General features: G+C 49.9%; 1 protein-coding gene across 1 annotated transcript in view, besides 4 other annotated features; it reads right to left on the minus strand.

Moving 5' to 3' along the window:
- The window catches only part of KCNJ10 (potassium inwardly rectifying channel subfamily J member 10), a 32,694-nt gene extending 18,481 nt beyond the window's left edge, over positions 1-14,213 (minus strand). Inside the window, exon 1 of the mRNA NM_002241.5 lies at positions 14,075-14,213. The gene's annotated coding sequence lies outside the window, so the exon portion shown is untranslated. The remainder of the gene's footprint in view (positions 1-14,074) is intronic.
- Positions 13,595-13,764: an enhancer, noted in NCBI's record as "experimental_419 CRE fragment used in MPRA reporter constructs". NCBI's record gives its function as "activates a minimal promoter by MPRAs in K562 erythroleukemia cells, with activity observed for both the introgressed and non-introgressed 1:160039417 or rs946420 variant alleles {active_cell/tissue: K562}" and the evidence as "EXISTENCE:reporter gene assay evidence [ECO:0000049][PMID:34662402]".
- Position 13,680: a transcriptional cis regulatory region, noted in NCBI's record as "Neanderthal adaptively introgressed variant 1:160039417 (GRCh37/hg19 assembly coordinates) or rs946420 in the experimental_419 CRE". NCBI's record gives its function as "modulates activity of the experimental_419 enhancer by MPRAs in K562 erythroleukemia cells {active_cell/tissue: K562}" and the evidence as "EXISTENCE:reporter gene assay evidence [ECO:0000049][PMID:34662402]".
- Positions 14,175-14,404: a silencer, noted in NCBI's record as "silent region_1457". NCBI's record gives its function as "represses an Ori minimal core promoter by ATAC-STARR-seq in GM12878 lymphoblastoid cells {active_cell/tissue: GM12878}" and the evidence as "EXISTENCE:reporter gene assay evidence [ECO:0000049][PMID:35858748]".
- Positions 15,942-16,301: an enhancer, noted in NCBI's record as "active region_1912". NCBI's record gives its function as "activates an Ori minimal core promoter by ATAC-STARR-seq in GM12878 lymphoblastoid cells {active_cell/tissue: GM12878}" and the evidence as "EXISTENCE:reporter gene assay evidence [ECO:0000049][PMID:35858748]".

Here is a 19,959-nt window from a genome sequence, read left to right on the forward strand (position 1 = left end):
TTTTAACATGTTCAGACTCAGCGTCCTGTCTCCTCAGAAGAGTCTCTTTTGTGTTTTCCTTCTTGTTCACAGAATTACCCTCCACTAGGTGCCCAAGCCTTAGAATTACCCCTGCTTTCTCTCTTCCCCCTCATCTGATTGGTAACTAGGTCCATCATTTCTGCCTTCATGACTCCTCTTCATGTCCATGGAGGCTGCCCTAGTTCATTCACTTGAAGTGTTGCAATGGTCTCCTGGTTCTCTTGCACCCAGGCTCACTGTGCTCATCTCGGTCCTCGGCTGCCTCAGTGCACACATTCTGACCCCATCACTTGGCTTTAAAATCTTCAAAAAGTTCCCACAGCTTTCGTGATAAAATTCAAACTTCTTGGCAAAATCCTTCAATGTCTGACTCCACCTTACTGTTCACAGCCTCCCCTGGAATATTTTCCCTGTGCAGCCCATATTCTAGCCACGTGAAACATAGCCTGTGCTCCACTTGTCTGTCTCCCTGTCTTTGCTCGGGCAGCTCGCTCTACCTAGAACATCCTCTGCCTGCTCCAAGACTCCCCTCCAGACTGCTGTCTTCCCTTTCAAATCCCCTTCCTCCTTCAAGGCCCTTCCCCAGTGCTCTCTCCACTGTGGAGCCTTCCCCACCTCCCAGGTAGAAATAGTTACTCTCCCTCTATGTTCCCGGGACATTTGCCACATCATCCTTTGTTCTCCTCTAGAGATTGTGAGCTCTTTGAAGGCACAGACTGTATTTTAGTCACCTTTGTAAGCTGTTACCTTTAAATTTAACCTAATTGGTTAGTAAAGAGGGAGGAATTAGAATCTCTGGGTGATTCTGGGCTAGGAATGTCAACTATACAGCATGTGAGCCATCACTCATCACCCCACCACCCCTTAGCAGATAACACTAATTCATCACAGTGCTTTTTATCTGACTGAGCCTCAGAATCATCCTCAATATGGTGATACAGAGAGTCATTTTCAATCAAATGGAGTTAGCCCAACAAATGAAACCTATTTCTTATCCTGGCATGTCTGAGTCACAAAGGTCCCTATGTATTCTCCTTTCCCGCTATTTGCCATCCTGTCTGTGTCACTTACTAGCTAGGGGAACTTCAGTCAATCTCTTAATCTCTCTAGAGCTCAGCTTCCTCATCTAAGGAGGCAATAAAACCTTCCACTATGTGGTCAGGATTACAAGATTTAAAGTATATGAAATCTGTAAGGCCCTTATGCAAATAAAGATGTTATTATCCTACTTTGCAGATGAATGAAAAATATTACTGAATCAGAGAAACTAAGGTTCAGAGACATAAAGTCACTTGCTGACGTTTATTTAATGGCAAAGCCAGACCCCATGTCTCCAAATCCTGTGGGCTTTTCCCTCACGTTGCCTCTCCACACCCCAGTGGCCTTGATGATGCTCAAGTTACACCATCCCTTCGATCTCCTTTCTCCAGGTGAGTTGTGGGGTAAGATTTACTCTAGCCCCAGAATTGAAGGGGACTTCCAACCCACTATTCTTTATCCCACCTCTCTATAATTCCTCCAAAACCCTCTCAGCCTGCCAAGAGGTGGGCAAGTGTGTGCTGAAGACTGCTGAGTAGAGCCAAGTTCCTTAATTACTATCCCTCAGCCTCTCGCCCTCTTGTCTGCCCCCAGCCTCAGGAGTATCAGGCAGCTGGCAGCCTTCTCAAGGCCTAGGATGGCCAGGGCCCTGGAGATAATGTTCTTGGGCTGAAGGCTAATGAGTTGTCACCTGATCTACCAGAAGAGTTTGAGAAACTAGGGAGGGTATGATGAGACCTATTCCTTGGAGTCCCAGGGCCAAGACAGGGTTCTCCACCTGAGAGAAGGGCGGGGGAGGCTGACCAGATCCCAGCTGAAGGGCCCTTCTCTGTACACTTTCCTGTCTTTGAACTTGAAGTGGTGTTGGCTGGAAATGAGGGGAGGCTTGGACCTAGGGGGTGGAGGGCCCAAGAGGTAGTGGCGGGTAGGGGAGGCAGAAGAGCTACTCCCCATTGTGAGAGCACCCCCAGGGCCAACTCCTGTAGAGGCTGTTTCATCAGCTCTGTGCCTTCCAGGAAGGACCATCCCCATCTTCCCAAACAGAGAACCTTTTCTGGACTGCTTCTTAATCTGTATTTTGTTCATCTTTGTGTCCTTCTCAGTGCCTGGCATTTCTTGACTTTAAAGAGCCTGTAGGATTGATGTTCTACATCACTTTTCCTCCTTCAGGCCCCCTTTTCCATGTGCCACCCACTTCATCCTTCGGAAGTCCTTCCTCTGAGCTTCCCATTGAAGTTTCAACGTTTGGACACTTGGGGGCACTGAGTCAGTTTCCCTAGCTCTTCTCTGCAGGCTGTGCTCAGCCCCACCCTGTCAACACTCTCCCTACTCTCTACAATGAGAGGGGCAGATGGGGAAACTGAGGCCCACTGTGGGAGTGCTTAGTAGGAGTGCCTCAGTGATAAAATCCAGGGTCTTCTGTGGAAGGCACATCTCTCTCTAGTGGTGAGAAAGGACAGAGGCAGAAAACTTCAGGCCTAAGCCAAAACTTGTCCAGAGGCAGACAACTCTGAACTTAAAGCTTCTTCCTGCACTGGCCAGGTCGTCCTAGGGGAGCCCAATGCTTCCTTGTGCTCGTGTGACCAAGGACAAGAGAAATTAGTCTTGGGAGAAAGGATGAATGAAAAGTAGGAAGAAGAGGAGAGGAAGTGGAGGGACCCTATCTCTGAAGTCCCTAGAATTACTGGTGGAACAGAGTCCTTTATGACCTGGTCTCTGCTGACCTCCCTAGCATCAGTGTTCTCTATCTGTACCCACCCACTTCACGCATGCATCATGTCCCCAGCCACACAAAACCTCTCGGTTCTTGAACAGACCAAGCTTTTCTTAGCAAATAATGGGGTCTCTTCCATGGAACACTCTTCCTTTCCCACTTTGCTTAATTTCTACTCCTCCTTCAGGCTTCAGCTTAGATGTCACTTTCTCTGGAAAGCCTTTCTGGATGCCCCCACCCACAACATGGGCTGCTATCCCCCTGTGTTCCCACAGTACCATGAACTTCCTACCTCAGGCTTTACGGTGCGCCAGGCATTGTGCTGGACGCTCCATGCCGTGCTTCATCCTAGCCTCCCTAGGGGGGCAATAGCATTGCCCTCAGATGAACGGGTGGAAACTAGACTTACATGGGTTAACTAACTTGCCCAGGAGGACTGCTCGTAAGGGGTGCACTGCAAGTTGAACCCAGGCCTGCTTAAATCTGCTTAAAGTCTGGGCTTCTCAACTTGCTACTGGACTGTGTCACAGAGTATTCATGCTGGGAAGTCCTCTATGGTCATCACGTTTAATACCCACATTTTACTAAAGAGGAAGCCAAGGCCTAGAAGAGGGGGGTAACTTTCCCAAGATCACACTGCTAGCTGGTAGCTCATGTTATTTTACATCAGAATCAGAGCAACAACCCTGGTCTTCTTCTTCATCTCAACTTATCTCTTCCTACAAGATCCTTTTCCTCACCCTGGGGTCCAAAAGTGCCAGTTTCTGTGGAGCCAACCTTGGAGCATTATCCACAGAAACTCTTCCCCAGCCAACCACAGCCACAGCCACAGCCCATTATCTTCAATCTGGGCCTCCCACCTAGTAGGTCTCAGGGTCTCCCTCACCCCTGCAGAAGCTGGCCCAACAAGAAGAGTTAGAATAAGCAGCAAATAGTGAGGTCCACGAGGAGGAGACATTCAGCAATGCTCTTACTGGGGTCTGTGGAAATGATCAAGGGATTCCTTTGAGGCCGCTGGAAACCCCACAGGGGCTCTGAGAGTCATTGGAACTATCTTCCAGGCCACTCAAGCTTTGTTCAGTAGGTGACTAAAGGGGGACTTTTCCTTCTCATCAAGGCAATGAGTTCTCCACCTCTTTCTGTCCCTCCCCTTATGCCCAGGGAATTCTTCCAGTTAAGTCAAAATTTACCTGTTGCTATCTGAGCAATTTCTTCCTATTTGTACCCTTAATGGAGCTGGAGACACAGAGGTACTCTGTACCTGTCATTCATATTCAGAAAATTGAGCCTGTTTCCCTGACAGGTGTCCTCTCAGCTCCCTTTCCTTCTTGGGGCTCCTGTTCCCTGCATGAAGAGCAGCCTCTGACCCTCACTCAGAGGAGTCTAGGGAGCTCACCATGACTCTGGGAGGCAATCTCTCTGCCCCCTCTCAACTTTTTACTTATTCCTTATCCACATTCCTCCCTTAAGAAGGAGGATGGGGTAGGGATGGCATGAGGACACTTACTAGATACAGAACTAGATTCAGAGGTGAGTGTCTCACTGTCCTCTGTCTCCTATAGTAACTAACTGCCCGAGCACAGCAGGGAAAGCTGAAGTTACATACATTGAGCAGTTCTCTTTCTCCAGTAGGGAACATTTGGAGCAAAAGAATCACACCAGAGTATAAGGGCTGGGGGAGGTGTGTTCCTGCATGAAGGAAGACAGATGGATGAGGCGGCTTAAGGAGAATCCAGTAGCCAGAGGGGAAGCATTTTAGATGAGGGGAAAGGAGAAGGAGTAGAAGGGCCCTGAGGTTCTCCCATGCAATTTTGATGGGAGGAAACATCATGGAGATTAGCACTCAATAATATTTGCTGATGAGCAAACCAATATCAGCTTAGTTCTCTATCTAACAGAGTTTCTGCAACTGTGACCCCATCCACCCTCCCAGGCCCCAGCACACCACTGTGCAGTCAGCCCTCAAGTCTCTGGGATCCCAATGGGCCTTCCTCTCTTCCCTTTTTAGGGCATCTGCTCCCAACTGCTAGAAGATGCTCTGGACCAGAATAGCAGGTGAGCCGTAGATACAGCCTACAGATCCTCGTGCAGACGTAGGATAATAACTGGAAAGGCCAGTACTAGGCAGCATGAAGGACTTATAATTGATAGAGATCCCCAACTCCAAACCCTAGCTAAGAAGGCTGTGGGGTTACTTTCCAGTGATCCAGAGTTCGTAGCAGGAGTGGGGCCGGTAGGAGGGTGGGAAGTGAAAGGAGGTAGGCTCACTCTGCCTAGGGGTAGTGCAAGGGTCAAAGTGACCTTCGGAGGTTCTTTCTAGACCCAGAAGCCCACTTAAGGCTCCTAGACCCGTTCTTCTCCCCACCCCTTCCCCTCACCATGCCCCCACTCCTTCCCAAAAAAAGGTGGCTAAAAGACAGCTCTGTTGGAATTGTAGATAGGGTTGGGGGTGGGGTCATCTGAGTGAAACCAAGAGACAAATAGTTGGGGGAAAAACACAAAAAAACTAGCGGTGAGAGACCTCCATTCTAGTCCCAGACTTGCCACCAGCTGCCTGGACACCATCATCTTACCTCTCAGAGCCTTGCTGGGAAAATGATAACTGTTCCATCTACCTCCCAGGGCCAGGAAGGGCTAGGAAATATCTATGTGCCCTGGGCAAATGCAAAGACGGACACACTGGACCTGTGCCAGCGAGGCCAGGTGGGGCTTTAGTTATTCACATAGAGCTCAGTCCAGGGTACTTGACTCAGCTCTGGGGTGGGGGGCCTGGCCCACCTAACTGCTTCCATGGTTGAGGCAGGAATGGGAGCATTGCTTAGAGTGCAGCAAGAGGCTGTGTCCATGGTTAACGTATAAGCAGGTGCAGTCTGGGGCAGCGGGACATTCTTAGCCCCAGGGCCACATTCTTAAGGTCACAACAAGTGCAAACTTGTTATAACCAGTGTCAGAGCAGCAGAGGGCAGCAAGGGCATGGGGGGGAGGGACATGGTGCTGAGATGCCTGCGGCCGTGGAGGGGGTGCAAAAGGGAAAGGGGGGTGGGGTGGAGGGAGGGTGGGTGTGCAGGTGCATATGCCAGGAGGTGGTGTTGTGGACGTGCGATCTGTGTGCTGGGGTCAGTGTGTTGTGTCTGGGCACATCCGTTTGGGTGTGTGTTGGGAGCCGTGTGTGGGGCCGCATAGATGAGTGTATGCCTGTGTGTCTCTGCATATATGAGCCCCGGGGAGTCCTGTAGTGGGAGGAGGAGAGGTGGCAGCCACAGGTCCAGGCTGGGCATACGGAACCGAGAAGTGGGCAGGCTCTGAGTGCCCCTTCCCCTTCTCAGGCCTCAGAGAACCTGCATTCCAACTCCTCCACAGACTGCCCCTGCCCCTGTGAGCCTAGGGCCTCTCCCCTCTGTGTGCCCTCTGCAGCCTGCCCTGTCAAATGCCCATCTCCCCAGCCTGCCCAGAGAGTGGGGGAGTCACCTCCTGCCCATCCCCCCTGGCCCAGGGCCCACTCCCCCGTGCTCTCTGGGCCCTCCGGACACTGGGGCGAAGGGGGGGTGGTGGGGAAGGCTCTGAAAGCAGGTGACTGTTTGGGGGAACTAGGGGACAGAGCCCCCATTGTGCCTGCCCCGGAGCCGCCTCAATGGAGCTCCCTGGCACAAAGGGGCTTTGACAATGGGCAGGACATTAGTATGCAGAGCCAGCCCCTCAGCCCTCTCCCTGTCCCACAGCCGAGGGGCGGGAGCTGGGGGACTGCTGGTAGAGGGTGAGGGGGGCCCAGGACTGAGACTAAGGAGATCTTGGCCCACAGGGGCTCCCCTGGGGGCACTGCCCAGGAGACAGGGGAGGAGACTAGACTAGGGCCTCCAAACCTGCCACTCGCCAGAAAGGACTTTCCAAATGGAAAAAGCCACGGGGACTGGTAGGAGTGGAGCGGGAGGGGCTGCGGGATGCCAAGCCCCTTGGTCCCAGGCTGGGCTCTAGAAAGAAGTGGGTGGGCAGTCTAAGTCCTCCCACGTTTTGCCTCAGTTTTACCATCTATGCAAAGGAATTTTGTGGGCAGGAGAAGAAAAACAGAGTAATACATAGCAAGTTCCCCAACCCCAGCAGGAAGGGCATGTGCTCAGGGTTTGGGGTCTTTGGGGTTCTACTTCCTTGGGGTGCCACCTTCTTTGAGATCTCCACCTGCTCTGGTTCTGGAGGCTGAAGAAGCTACTACAGGGGAAGCAGGGGTTAGGGACAAGAGTCGCCTGCCACCTGTGCTCTTCCAGGGAATTCAACCTGAACTAGTGAAGGTGGAGCTGGAAGCCCAGCTCAGGGGAATTTGACTGAAGGGCCAATGAGCCAGGACTAGCTCTTCCCAGTATATGTCTAACTCCCCATCTGCCTCCTCCTGTTCTACAATCTGTGAGGAGAAGCTTCCCTTCTCCTGCCCAGGGAACCCCAGCAGGCACCCCTATCCTCATTAATGCCCTCAGCACCACCAACTGGCTTTTCCAAGGCACCATGTTGTGCCTTGTGGTGCCTCAGCACAAAGGGCAGGGCCAGAAGGCATGATCTGGGGAGGGGCTCCTGGGCCTTGGGTGGTGGGAGAGCTGAGAGGAGGGCAGTGAGCGGGACTGAGCACCTCATGAGAAGCAGGGTTGCCCAATCACAGACTTCCTACGAGCCCCAGGAAGAGAAGGCCGGGGACACTTTGCAGAACTGCTCCCCACACGGCAAGACAGAACAATCTCTGGGCTTGAAAATGTCTTCCTAGCTTTCTTTCTCCTCTTTTCAGTTGCTGTCAGTATCGGAAGTTCTCCCTGCTGTCTGCCCTCAAGGCTTCCCACTGTACTGCCCTGGCCCTGGGCTCACCTGAGATTGCTGGGGAAAAGAAAGGTAAAGTCTGCTTCTTTCCCCGTCTTAGGACCTTGCTCCTCCACTCTCCACAAAAAAATTCTGGCGGGGAGAGCAGAGATGGAGCTAGGCCTTAGAACTCCTGGGTTCGGGGCCCAACAACCCTGTCAACTCTCTCTGGGAACTTGCACAGGTCACTTTCCCTCTCTGGGCCGAGCTCCTATGTGTAGCATTGGATGGATCTCCTCTGCAGCTCCCTGCCTTCGGGACAATGCGCAGTGGATTCAGGGGCAAGGCTCCGGAATTTAATGAGAGCTCACATCATTGAGCTCTACGCTGAGCCCTTTCCTATTATGTCATTTAATTCTCAACAACTCTAAAGGTGGGTGCTTTTTAAAGTCCCATTTTATAGATGAGAAAACTGAAGCACAGAGATATTAATAATTTGCCCATGGCCACATAGCTAGTGAGTAGTAGAACAGAGGCAGAACTTAACATGATGAACCACTACCCCATACTACCTCCCTGGTGAGAACATTCAAAAGACCATGGCAGCTGAAGGAAATCAACGAGGATATTCAAATTGGCCCAGGTTTTTGAAACTGTCTTCTAAGGTTCCTCTAGACTAGCAGTTCTCAAAGTATGGTCCCTGGACCCTTTCGGAGGGTTCCTGAGACCCTTTCGGAGGCTCTACAAAGTCAAACCTATCTTCATAATAATGCTAACAATACATTATTTGCCCTTTTCACTTTCATTATTTCACAGTGTTCAGTAGAGTTTTCCAGAAGGTACATGACCTATGATATTGCAACACACTAAATGCAGAAGCAGATGAGAAAGCAACTGTCTTTGATTAAGCCAGATGTTTAAAAAGACTTGTGAAAATATAAGACAATGTCACTCTTCTTATTAACTTTTTGTTTACTTTAATACAGCTGTTTTTCATTAAAAATACGTCATTTTGTTAACATGCAAAAATTAATAATTATTTCATGTGTCCCAGTGTTCATTTCTAACACAGTAAATGTTCATAGATAGAACCCACACAAACCAAAGCTCTTTGGAGTCTTCAGTAACTTTTTAGAATGTAAAGTGGTCCTGAGGTCAAAAAGTTTAAAAACCAGTGCTCTAGACTCTAATACACTCACCCTCTCCTCTTACCAGTTGCCTATATCTTTTTTATCACAGGGTCAACCGGGAGGTTTAGACACGTGGAGAAGGAGTGTGCCTGGCTCTACCAGTTGGAACTGGGATCAGAAGTGGAGCTGAGGAGGCTGGTCCAGGGAGAATGCAGTGCTAAGAGGTCAGACCTATACCCCACTTGGGAGGTGACCTCACATGTCTGCCACCTTGCAAGCCCCTGCTCAGAGGTATGCTCAGGACAATGGGGCTGCCTCAGACTAGACTCTGACCTTTATCCCCCTTTTTCATTCCAGACGATGCTGCTGACAAGCCCGGCCTCAGGCTGGAGTCAGACTGCCCTGGTGAGGGGAGAAAGGCTCTCTGGGGCCTACATACCTGCATTTGTGTTGGGGGGGTGGGTGGAGCAACAATGCTTAGAAGACTATAAATTGGGGGTTCTAGGGCTTGTAATCTTAGGGTGAAGCCATGTCTACAGGATGGGGTCGTTAGTAGGAGAGGGGTTTCTCTTGAGATCTCCTATAGAATTAGATAATAGGATCCTATACACACCCTGCTGCAGGATGCTCACATAAACCTCCAAAGTCAGGCTCCTTCCCCAAGAATAAGCGATCAGAAATGTTTCCTACCTAGAGTCAAACTGGACAGTAGCTACTCTGTGTCTTAGGAGGCAGGCCCTTTGCTGGGTGCCAGAGGGTCCAGAGAGAGAAGAGATGCCTTTGCCAATCTGACGGAGGTACAGGCCTCACCCTAGAGGAAACCCCCGGCTAATGAGGGAGACAAGTCTCCTCCAACATCGCCATGCATGGAGAACCCTGGGCCAAGTTGCAGATGCAAGTAACAAGCAAGATGGCAGAGCAGAGAGGGAAACAGGAGAATAGAGATCTGCGGGAGGGGTGAGACTTGGAATGGCCTTTGTGAGGGTCCAGAGTGTGGGGAGGAGCATGGCTCAGAGACTGCCTGGGATATGCTCCCCAGGATCAGGGTCTGAAGAGTGCAGTTCCACAAGATATGGGGCTGGAGGGGATGGGAGAAAGGCATAAAGTCTCTTGAAGCCTGTGATTGGGAAATTTTTATCCAATGCCAACAGATGTGTCTGGGTAGAGAAAGGGCAAGATAAAACTGATGCTTCATGATGACAATTCCAGTGATAATTTCATTATAGGGTAACAGGGAAGGAGTCGAGGAGAGAGGGGGCTGGAGTCAGGGAGGTCATTAAGGAGGCTGCTGTGGGCATCCAGGCTGATGGGATGAACAAGCCAATCAGGAGACACAAGAAGAGAAGGGCATATAAACCTGAGAGAAGTTGTGGGGGCAAACCTGGGCCGGGAGAGGGAGAGGCAGGATGAAGAATACAAGAGCGATAGGCAGGACCATGGGAGCAGGAATGAGATGTGGGGGTTGTCTTGACCGACAGAAGAAGTCTCTGACAGAAGTCTTTGGCTGAAAGAGAAGTTGCTGAGAATGGGGAAAGAGACTATTTGGTGAAAGCTCAACCACTCAGTTCTCATTTATTGAATCTGAAGACAGGACATCTGCTTGGCAAAAACTTGTGGAAAGCAGGGGCTGTGGGTGTGGAGACCCCACCTCAAGTGATGCCCAGCCTATTGGAATCAAGGAAGGAAATGCATCTTAAACTGCTTGATAATTCTTCTACCTTCCCAAACTCCAGAAGGGTGGGAAGAAAAAACCTAGGACAGAATCTCAAAACAAAACAAAGCAAAACCCACAAAGAAGGGCTGGGACAAAGCCCAGGAACAAGGAAAGATGACACAGTAGAAAACATTAGAGTGGTGGGAGAAAAGCAATGGCCCACAACTCCACTTTTTACAGACTAAGGACCATTCCAAGCCCCTTACGGTAGTCACTGTGCATCCTCACAGCAGTTATGAGCCCTATTGTGAGGATGGGACTTCCTTAGCTACTAAGTGGTAAACCAGGACCGAATCCCACAAAGTCAGACTCCAAGGCCATGCTCTTAACCATAGTGCCTGCTGTCTCTCAGAGCGGAAAGTAGCCCTGGAACAGCAAGAGAGAGGTGCAGCAGCCACCCAGGGGAGGCCCCTGACAGTTGTCACAATAATCCCTGCACTCTGAGCTCCATCACTCCTCTCGGAAGCTTTAAGGATGGGCTTCTGTGTTTGGGGATTTTGTTGGTGGTTTTTGTTTTGTTTTGGTTGGTTTTTTTGGTCCAGAAAGTGGTCTCTCTTTCCTTCCCAGTCTCCATTTCAAATGTCTTTCCTTTTCTAGGATGTGCTTCCTGAGATCTAACCTAAGTCCTTCTAGCTGCAGCCACAATCCTTTCCCCAGGTGTTGTGCCATCGGAAAAGTTGCACAATGGCCATGTATACCCTTTCTGTGCTGCACCTTGTTGGAGGCTTGAGGTCTGATTCAGTCCTCTTCTAGCTCCTGCTTCTCCAACCTCCTTCTCCATGCCACAAAGTTCTGTTCTTACTTCTCTCTCACATTCCAGAGCCAGCCCCTCCCTTCCCCCACCACCTCAAATCCAGGCTCCAAGCTGGCAAACACCCACGGGAGGGCATTTCCCACAATCCCTTTCTCTTTGCCCTTTCAAGGTTCTGATGGGGGAGGGGAGGAAGAGGGGCCACCAGATGCACTCTCTCCCTAAAGAATGGTGGCAAACATGTAGGCTAAACTCAAATGAGGGAAGAAAAGCATTGAACTCAGCCTGCTGGAGAGACCGAAGTGACATGGCAAACTCCCATTCCCAGGAGCTGCCCAGCCAACCACCCACCATTGGGTGCTAAAACACTTAGATTTTAAATCTCCCTTTCCTCTCCAATCTTTCTGTAGTTTCATCTCAACGATGTGCCTTGGCTGATTCCTTCTCTGCCCCCTTCCAGGGCCCCACTGCTATCCTGGACAGCTTGGCCTCAGCCTGGACAGTAGCACTGACCAGTCAGGCAAGAGAAGAATCTAGGCCGAGGAGGGGAGGGAGAGTGGAGGTTTTTTTCTTCCGTCCTAAATAACCTGTGGCTGGAAAGCTTAGGGACTCCATTGCCCAATGTCTCTTTTCCTCCCCACCAATGCCAGGAGGCTCGGCCTATCTTTCCATCTTGTGTGCAGAAACCAAGAGTTTTACCAGGAGGCTCAGGAGTATCCTTTGAGGAAACAGATCTTTCTGCATGACCCACCCCCTAGAGCTTTAAACCCCCTATCCTGCCAATCACAGAATGACTCCAGAGGACTTCATCTGAGCCCACCGTGATCCAAGTGTCCCAGCCTCTCTGGTCCCAAGGAAGGTCAAGGGAAGGAAGGTCCCCGGGTCCTCTGCCAGTCACTTCCTTGTAGCTCAAGCCAACCAAGCTGGAGCTGTAAATGAGCTTATGCACAGTGATGCAGGTGGGAGGGAGCTAGAATGTGGTTCAATGGGGCACACGGAGGAGGTAGGGGATACCAGCGGGCAGATCATTAATCCCCTCACACAAACATATGCACCCATAGACTGGATGTGGGTCAGATGTTGGGGAAGATGGATTTATTTTTTCCTCAGGGTAAGGGATAGCAGAGGGGTTCTGCATTAGAGCCACAGAGGGGCTGGAACCATAACCCTGCTACCCCTGCCACTCCCACTCCCCACCCACCCTCCATCGGTGGAGTCATTGCCATTTGATATCCGCTGAGACAACTTGGCTGCTCAGGCTCTGAGTGGGGGGTGGGGGGATGGCTCAGAAAACAGCAGCTCCTTTCAGGACCCAGGTTGGCAAGGGCTTTGGGAGGCTGGACCAGCCCAGATCACCCCCCAACACCCTCTCCCTCCCTTCCTCCCTTGCCACCACCACCAAAGGACTGGGGGAAGGCAGCGGGGAAAGGAGTTGGCACTGCCTGGGCCGTGCCTATTGCCTCCACAATCCAGCCCTGGACCCTCTCCCTGGCATGATGCCTTCCATCCCCCTCCTCCCTCGTTTCTTCCTCCCTGAAGAACCAGCTATGAGTCAGGATGCCTGGTTCCTTCCAAACTTGGTCCCCTATACCCAGTCTACCCCCAGAGAAATTTACAAGCCCTACCACTTGGCACAGGATGGTACCCACCATCATGCCAGGAATATGTTCAAAAATCCTTGGAGATTAGGGAGAGAGTTTCAGGATGAAACTAAATTGAACTCACTGGTGGCTGCCCACCCCTCCTGGGGCTAATTTCATGACAACCACTCCAGGCCCTCCTCAGCACCCTTAAACAAGGCCATCTCTCACATGGGGGCCCTAAATCTCCTGTCATTATCTCCCTCCCACCCAGGCAGCCTAAAGCAGTCCCAGTGGGGAGAAAAAAAATTCAAACACCACAGCAAGAGCAGACTGGCCAGACATCTTTAGTCAGAATTTGTATTGGTAAGCAACAGAAGCAGGCTTTAAGCACTGGCCTCTTTGGGGTCCAAATCTGCACCAGCTTCTTCCCCATCTGCCTCACCCTGCCTGGGGCACTCACTGGAATTAAACTTCAAGACACCAGAACCCACCCTCACTTTTTCCCAGTGTTGTCCTTCTACCCATTCCTGGGTTCAGCTCTCCTCCCCCAAATCAGGAAGTTCCATCCTTCATCTGTTCCCTAACACAGGTGCCCTGGGTTAGTTCTGATGAGAGGAGGAATGGAATGGGAAGGGGCGTCTCCATCTGGAGGGTGAGTTTATAGAACCCAATCTGCCCTTCTCACTCTAGCAGAAGTGGCCCTGCTCCTTTCCTTCTGGAAATCCCAGTGCGAAACAGCTGGGGTGAGGGTGAGGGGCCATGAGGAGGGATGTCTTAAAATGGGAGCCACTCAGAATAGAAGGAAGAGATTGGGTGGGCAGGGGTCTGGAGCACACCAGGCTTTGGTGGCTCCCCGGTTTAAGCTGCCAGTATCTGTTTTTCTCCCCATGTGGGAACTAGCGATCATGGGTGTCACTATGTGATTGTCACTGTATGGGGAGTGGGGGAGGGGCTGGGGATGGGAGTAACCTGTCCATATGGGGAGGAGGGCGCACTGTCTGTTGTGCCTGTGTATGGGGTGCCTGGTTATGTGTGGTTGTCACTGTATTAACTAGAGGAGCAGGGATGCAACTGCTGGTCTGCCCAGTGGGAGGGGGCATCGGGAAAGCCCCTTCCTTAGATGAAAGGGCTGAGGTGACCAGCCTGGCTAGTTTCCTCGTGGGGAGCCCTTCCCAGGAGGCTCCATTTGGGACTGCCCAAGGCGGGAGGCAGGGGAACAAGACGGTGGTACCGCTGAGGCCAGGCAGGGTAGGGACTGAGGATCTGGGACCCCGATGTCTCTGGAGAGTTAGGGGGACAGGACCCGGCCGGGGCGGCAGAACTCCTTCATCAGGGCCAGGGTCTTACCTTGGGTCCGAGGTGGAGTGGCCCCTTGGATGGGCCGCGGGGCAGCGGGACAGATGGACGGACGGGGCGGGCAGGAGTTAGGAGCAGAGCTGTGCGACGGGCCGGGCCAGGACTCTTAAACCCGGAGCTGGGATCAGATAAGGGCTTGTCCGGGGGCCGGGGCCGGGGTCGGGCCGGCCGGGGGCAGAGCTGGGCCGGGCCGGGCCGCCCCCTCCCTCCGCAGCGCCGGAGCCAAACTTTGTGTGAATGGAGGGGCCCGGAGGGGGGCCGGGCAGGCGGGGGCGGGGGGCTCCGAACAGACCAATGGGAGAGTGGAGCGCCAGGCTCGAGCCGCCGAGATTGGAGGGTCTTGGGCAGGGGGCGGGGCGTGCGGGGCAAGGAAGCGGAGACCCAGACAGCTGCAGGCGCAGAGAGAAATATCCAAAGACAGAGACCCAGACAGACCCGGGGAGAAAGAGAGATGAAGAGACGATATGCGAAACGATAGGAGCTGAGCTGGCAGGGTGACAGGGGAAGGGAGAAGGAAGAAAAGGGAGGCGGTCCTGTCAGCGATGGGTTACGAGAGCTGGAGCCGGGGGGCGGGACTGGGACCGAGTTAACGAAGTGGAAATGAATTCAGGACCGGCCCAGTGGCCCTGCAGGCAGCGCCGAAGGCGGCGCCTGGAAGTGAGATTGGGGCGGAGTAGGCCTGGGCTCCCTGAGCCACAGGACTGTATCTTTGGGCACAATTCCCGTGTTGTTCACCGTCTCCTAAGTCCCCGGTGCGGTGCTGGGTGAGAGACGCGCAGCACACGGTGCCCACCTGCAGCGGCTTTCTCTGTAAGGAAAGATAAGGCCGGAACCCTCAGCGAAGTGCGGGAGGTACTGAAGGCTGTAAAAGGGAGAGGTCATTCTACTCAGAGGGCTCCTAGCAGATGTGGGAGGAAAGAGGTAACATCTGATTAGGGTCCCAAAGGAAGCAGAAGATTCAGGTGCTGAGAGATGGTCCCCAGGACTCTGTTGCATTTAAGGCAGAGGGAACAACGTAGCAGAGTCCTGGGGAGACGTGAAAATACAAGTTCACTTGGGAAACAGCATCAAACTGTCCCATTTACTAGATTAGAGTGCAGGGTGATGGTTCTCAACCCTTTCATCACCAAAGATTTCTTTAATTTTCTGAATCTATGTGTTGAGAGGTTTTAATTCACCCCCACCCCCAGCATTTATTTAAAAAGAATATAATTATTTCCTCATTTCTGATCATCATAAACATTTAACTGCTAATCAATAACCAGTGTTACCATATTGAATTGCTATAAATTCAGGTAAAAAAAGGAAAGAAACTAGGAATGTAGCTTAGTTTAACCACTAAAAGCCATAAGATAAGTAAATGTCCATTCAAATAGCCTCATTGGAGAAGCTGGAAGGACGGGACTAAAGGTTAGGCACCATAGGCAGTGTTTGTGTTAAGGGGAACATCCGGAAGAAACACAGAGTTGTGCTGATTTGTGGTCAGGCCAGAGTTTCTGTAGGCTACGGAGAGCAATTGAAGGTTCTTGGGAAGGATGGAGTAGGAGAAAGCTATGGCATTTTAGGAAAATTAATCGGGAGGTGACAAAATAGTTTGAACCAAGTGGATATAGTAGGCAAGTAGACGATAGAAAATAATTGCAATAATATAAGCATGAAGAGATGACAGCCCAAATCAGCGTGGCAATGGTGAAAAGTGGAACACAGAAAATGAATTGGAGTACAGAAAAATCAAAAGAAAATGAAAAAAGTTTGAAGCCAACTTGACATGTTGAGCAAAAGAGGGAAGCTTCAGAGATCATACTAGAGTCTCAAGTCAGGTGATCAGAACTGCGAGGTCATTCACGGGCATAGGGGAGCCTGGGGGGGATCACACCTGGTGAGGAGACTGAGGTGGGGGAAGAGGAAGTGATGAGTTCAGAGCTGGAAGCTGTGGAGAGGGGTCAGAACCAGAGAGAGAAAGGAGGTCATTGCTGCCAGGGCAGTGTGAGTTGAAGCTATGAGAACAGGGTAGATCCCAACAAAGACTGCACAGAGAAATGAGAGCCTGGCACAGAGAGTGAGGAACACCTATGTTTAGGGGATGGGAAGAAGAAGGACCCCCAAAGAGTGAAAGAGAATCCACCAGACAGGCAGGAAGGAGACAAAGAAAGTGAGATGTCATGGAGCTAAGGAAGGAGAGACTGTTAAGGAGGAGGTTCTAACAGTGCCAACAAGTACAGAGAGAAGAGGCATTGGGTTTGGCAGTGACAAAGTCTCTAGTGACATTTGAGAGCAATTTCAGAAGAGTGAGCAAGGTGGGAACCAGATTACAAGTTACCACTAGAAAGTGAGAAACTGTCAGCAAGTATAGGTTACACTTTTGAGAACTCTACTCATAGAGAGGAGAGAAATAGAAACCAGACAATGTACTAGAAACAGGCCAGGCCAGGTGGCTCATGCCTGTAATCCCAGCACTTTGGGAGGCCAAGGTGGGTGGATCACCTGAGGTCAGGAGTTTGAGACCAGCCTGGCCAACATGGCAAAAACCCATCTCTACTAAAAATACAAAAATTAGCCGGGCCTGGTGGCACGCGCCTGTAATCCCAGCTACTTGGGAGACTGAGGCATGTGAATCGCTTGAACCTGGGAGGCAGAGGTTGCAGTGAGCCGAGATCACGCCACTGCACTCCAGCCTGGGGGACAGAGCTAGACTCTGTCTCCAAAAACAAAACAAAACAAAACACAAAATAAAAAGAAAAAGAAACAGTCTTCCAGTTTTTCTTCTTCACACTCCGAATGCCCTCTCTTCCTAAGTCAATATGGATGAGGGGCTGTGGTGAGGTGGTCTGAGGGCCAGCCTGCAAGACTGGTATAAGACCTTTAAGTTTCAAAAAATAGGACATCCAAAAGATCCTTAAGGGGGCCACAGTCTTGACATTCACAGACAGAGAGGACTTAGGCAGGGGTGTCCAATTTTTTGGTTTCCCTGGGCCACATTGGAAGAAGAAGAATTGTCTTGGGCCACACATAAAATACACTAACACTAACAGTAGCTGATGAGCTTTAAAAAAAAAAAATCACAAAAAAAACCCTCATGATGTTTTAAGAAAGTTTACAAATTTGTGTTGGGCCTCATTCAAAGCTGTCCTGGGCTGCATGCAGCCCACAGGCGGTGGGTTGGACAAGCTTAGCTTGGAGGCTCTGGTGGAACTCCAAAATAAACATGAAGAACACCACAGAAGAGAAAGCAAAGGGACTGTAATGATTTATGGATCATTAACAGACATTTATTGTGCACTTATTATTTTTCCAAAAATGTTATCCATCCATTTAGCTTCAACTACCACCCATGTGTCAATATGTCCAGCCCACCCGGATATCCATTTCAAACTCAACATATTTAAAGTCGAACATGTCACCTTGCTCACAAGAGTGCTCCTCTCCATTTATTCTCTACCATGGTAGATACACTATCATCACCCAACCAGAAACATGGCAGCCATCCTAGATTCTTCAATCTTCCTCACCTCATCTCCCTTATTGAATCAATGCATCTGTATTCTAAATAGCCTCAATATTGTCCCCTTCCTCTCTATTCCACTATCATTGCTGTAGTCTAGGACACCATTACCTCTCACCAGGTAATAATAGTTTGGATCTTTGATCCTGCTCAAATTTCATGCTGGATTTTAATGCCAATGCTGGACATGGGCCTGGTGGGAGGTGTTTTGATCATGGGGGCAGGTCCCTCAGCGGCTTGGTGCTATCTTCATGATAGTGAGTTCTCGTGAGATCTGGGTGTTTAAAAGTATATGGCAACATCCCCCATCATCAACTCTCTCTTGCTCCTGCTTTTGCCATGTGATGTGCCTGCTCCTGCTTTGCCTTCCACCACAAGTAAAAGCTTCCTGAGGTCTCCTGAGAAGCTGAGCAGATGTCAGCACCATGCTTCCTGTAAATCCTGCAGAACTGTGTGCCAATTAAACCTTTTTTCTTTATAAATTACCCACTCTCTGGGTTTTTTTTTTTTTAATTTTTAATCTTTTTTTTTTTTTTGAGACAGGGTTTCACTCTGTCCCCTAGGCTGGAGTGCAGTGGTGTGATCACAGCTCACTGCAACCCTGAACTCCTGTGCTGAAGTAGTCTTCCTGCCTCAACCTCAAACGTAGCTGGAACTACAGGTGTTCACCATTACACCCAGCTATTTTTTTTTTTTTTTAACTTTCAGTAGAGACGAAGAATCGCTATGTAGATCAGGATGGTCTTGAACTTGTGAGCTCAAGCAGTCCTCCCACCTCAGCCTCCCAAAATGCTGGATTACAGGCTTGAGCCACCATGGCCTATCTCAGGTATTTCATTATAGCAATGCAAGAATGGCCTAATACACCAGGGCTACTGCAGCAGCCTTCTAACTACTCTCCCTGCCTCCAGTCTTCCTCCACTCTAATAATTCTTTGGATTATGAATTTCTTTATTTGAAAGTAATTAAGCACCAGTAAAGTACATCTCTCTGAAACACACATCTGACCGTACCACTTCCAAGTTTTAAAACCTTCAGTAACTGCCAACTATCTATAAGTAAAGTCCGAGTTCCTTTCCCTGGAAGAGAAGGCCTATTATAACCTGGACCTGGTGCCATTCCAGCCTTATCTTCTTCCACTGCCCCTATACACCCAAAGCTACAGCTACTTCTTTTAACACTCAAGGTTCAGCCTTATGTTCTCTTTCTGTGTCTTGCCCCTTGAGCCTTTGTCATTTACATAGCTCCAACGATTGTCCCTGAGTGATGCCCAAATCTCTATCTTCAATCCTACACTCTTTTTGGAGCTCCATATTTCTAGTTGCTTGCAGGGGATTTCCATCTTGACTTGACAGGCCCCAAACTGAACTCAGTACCTTCCTCCCCAAAGGTGGAAGTGCTCGTGACTTCCTTAGTTCTGTGTTACTCCTGGTCAATTAGAATAAAAAACTACAAGTGACCTTTACTCTTCACCGTTGCCTTGGGCCCATTCCTGGACATGTCAAATAAGCCAACAAATGCTGTCAAGTCTCCCTTTCTTTCATCTGTTTGCAATGTGCTTTTTCATTCCTATGACCACTATCAGAATCAGAAAGATCAGGACCTGACCCATCCTTCACCTTTCTCTCCAGTCTCAAAGGAAGAGGCAACCTGTTTTCATCATGTCGGTCCCTGTGCCCTTGTTTTAAAACCCCAAACAGTTGCCTCGTGCTTACAGGTCACAGTGAAGGAGGTCTTCACCACAGAAGACCTAGAAAAAAAAAAAAGAAGATAAAAAACGTGACAGGCCCTCAGACTGAACTCGGCATCTTTCTCTCTGAGGCTGGAAGTGCTCATGACTTCCTTAATTCTATGTTACTTCTGGTCAATCAGACTAAAAAACTACAAGTGATCTACAGAAGTGTCCTCTACTAACAATCAGAGTGAGGATAGAGTCGGGTGGGACTGGGCAGTTAGAAAGACTTTATAAGTCCTTGAACAGCAGGGGTGGGAGCTTGTGGAAAAGTACACAGGTAGCTTCAACAGCACTGTAATGTTCTGAATTTAAAAGAGTGATTTAAATTGAGTTTTTGTTCTTAAATTATGCTTTATAACATATAGACATATGTCCACCATCTATATTCTTTTGTACATATCAAATGTCAGGTTTTCATTTTTAAATTTGTTTGCAAAAGAGAAGTCCTAGGACAGTCTCTAGGAGCCCAGTAGGGAATCAGTAATAAGGGGCATAGGACACTAATATTTGTGAGTGTTTACTACATCAGATAGATCAGAAGATGGGGAAACTGAAGTTCTGAGGAGTTAAGTGGTTTGCCTATGGTAACATAGCTGGAAAGTGTTTTGAGATTTGAATCCACATATATTTGACCCCAAA

The sequence above is a fragment of the Homo sapiens genome, chromosome 1, assembly GCF_000001405.40.
Source record: "Homo sapiens chromosome 1, GRCh38.p14 Primary Assembly".
Classification (NCBI taxonomy): domain Eukaryota; kingdom Metazoa; phylum Chordata; class Mammalia; order Primates; family Hominidae; genus Homo; species Homo sapiens.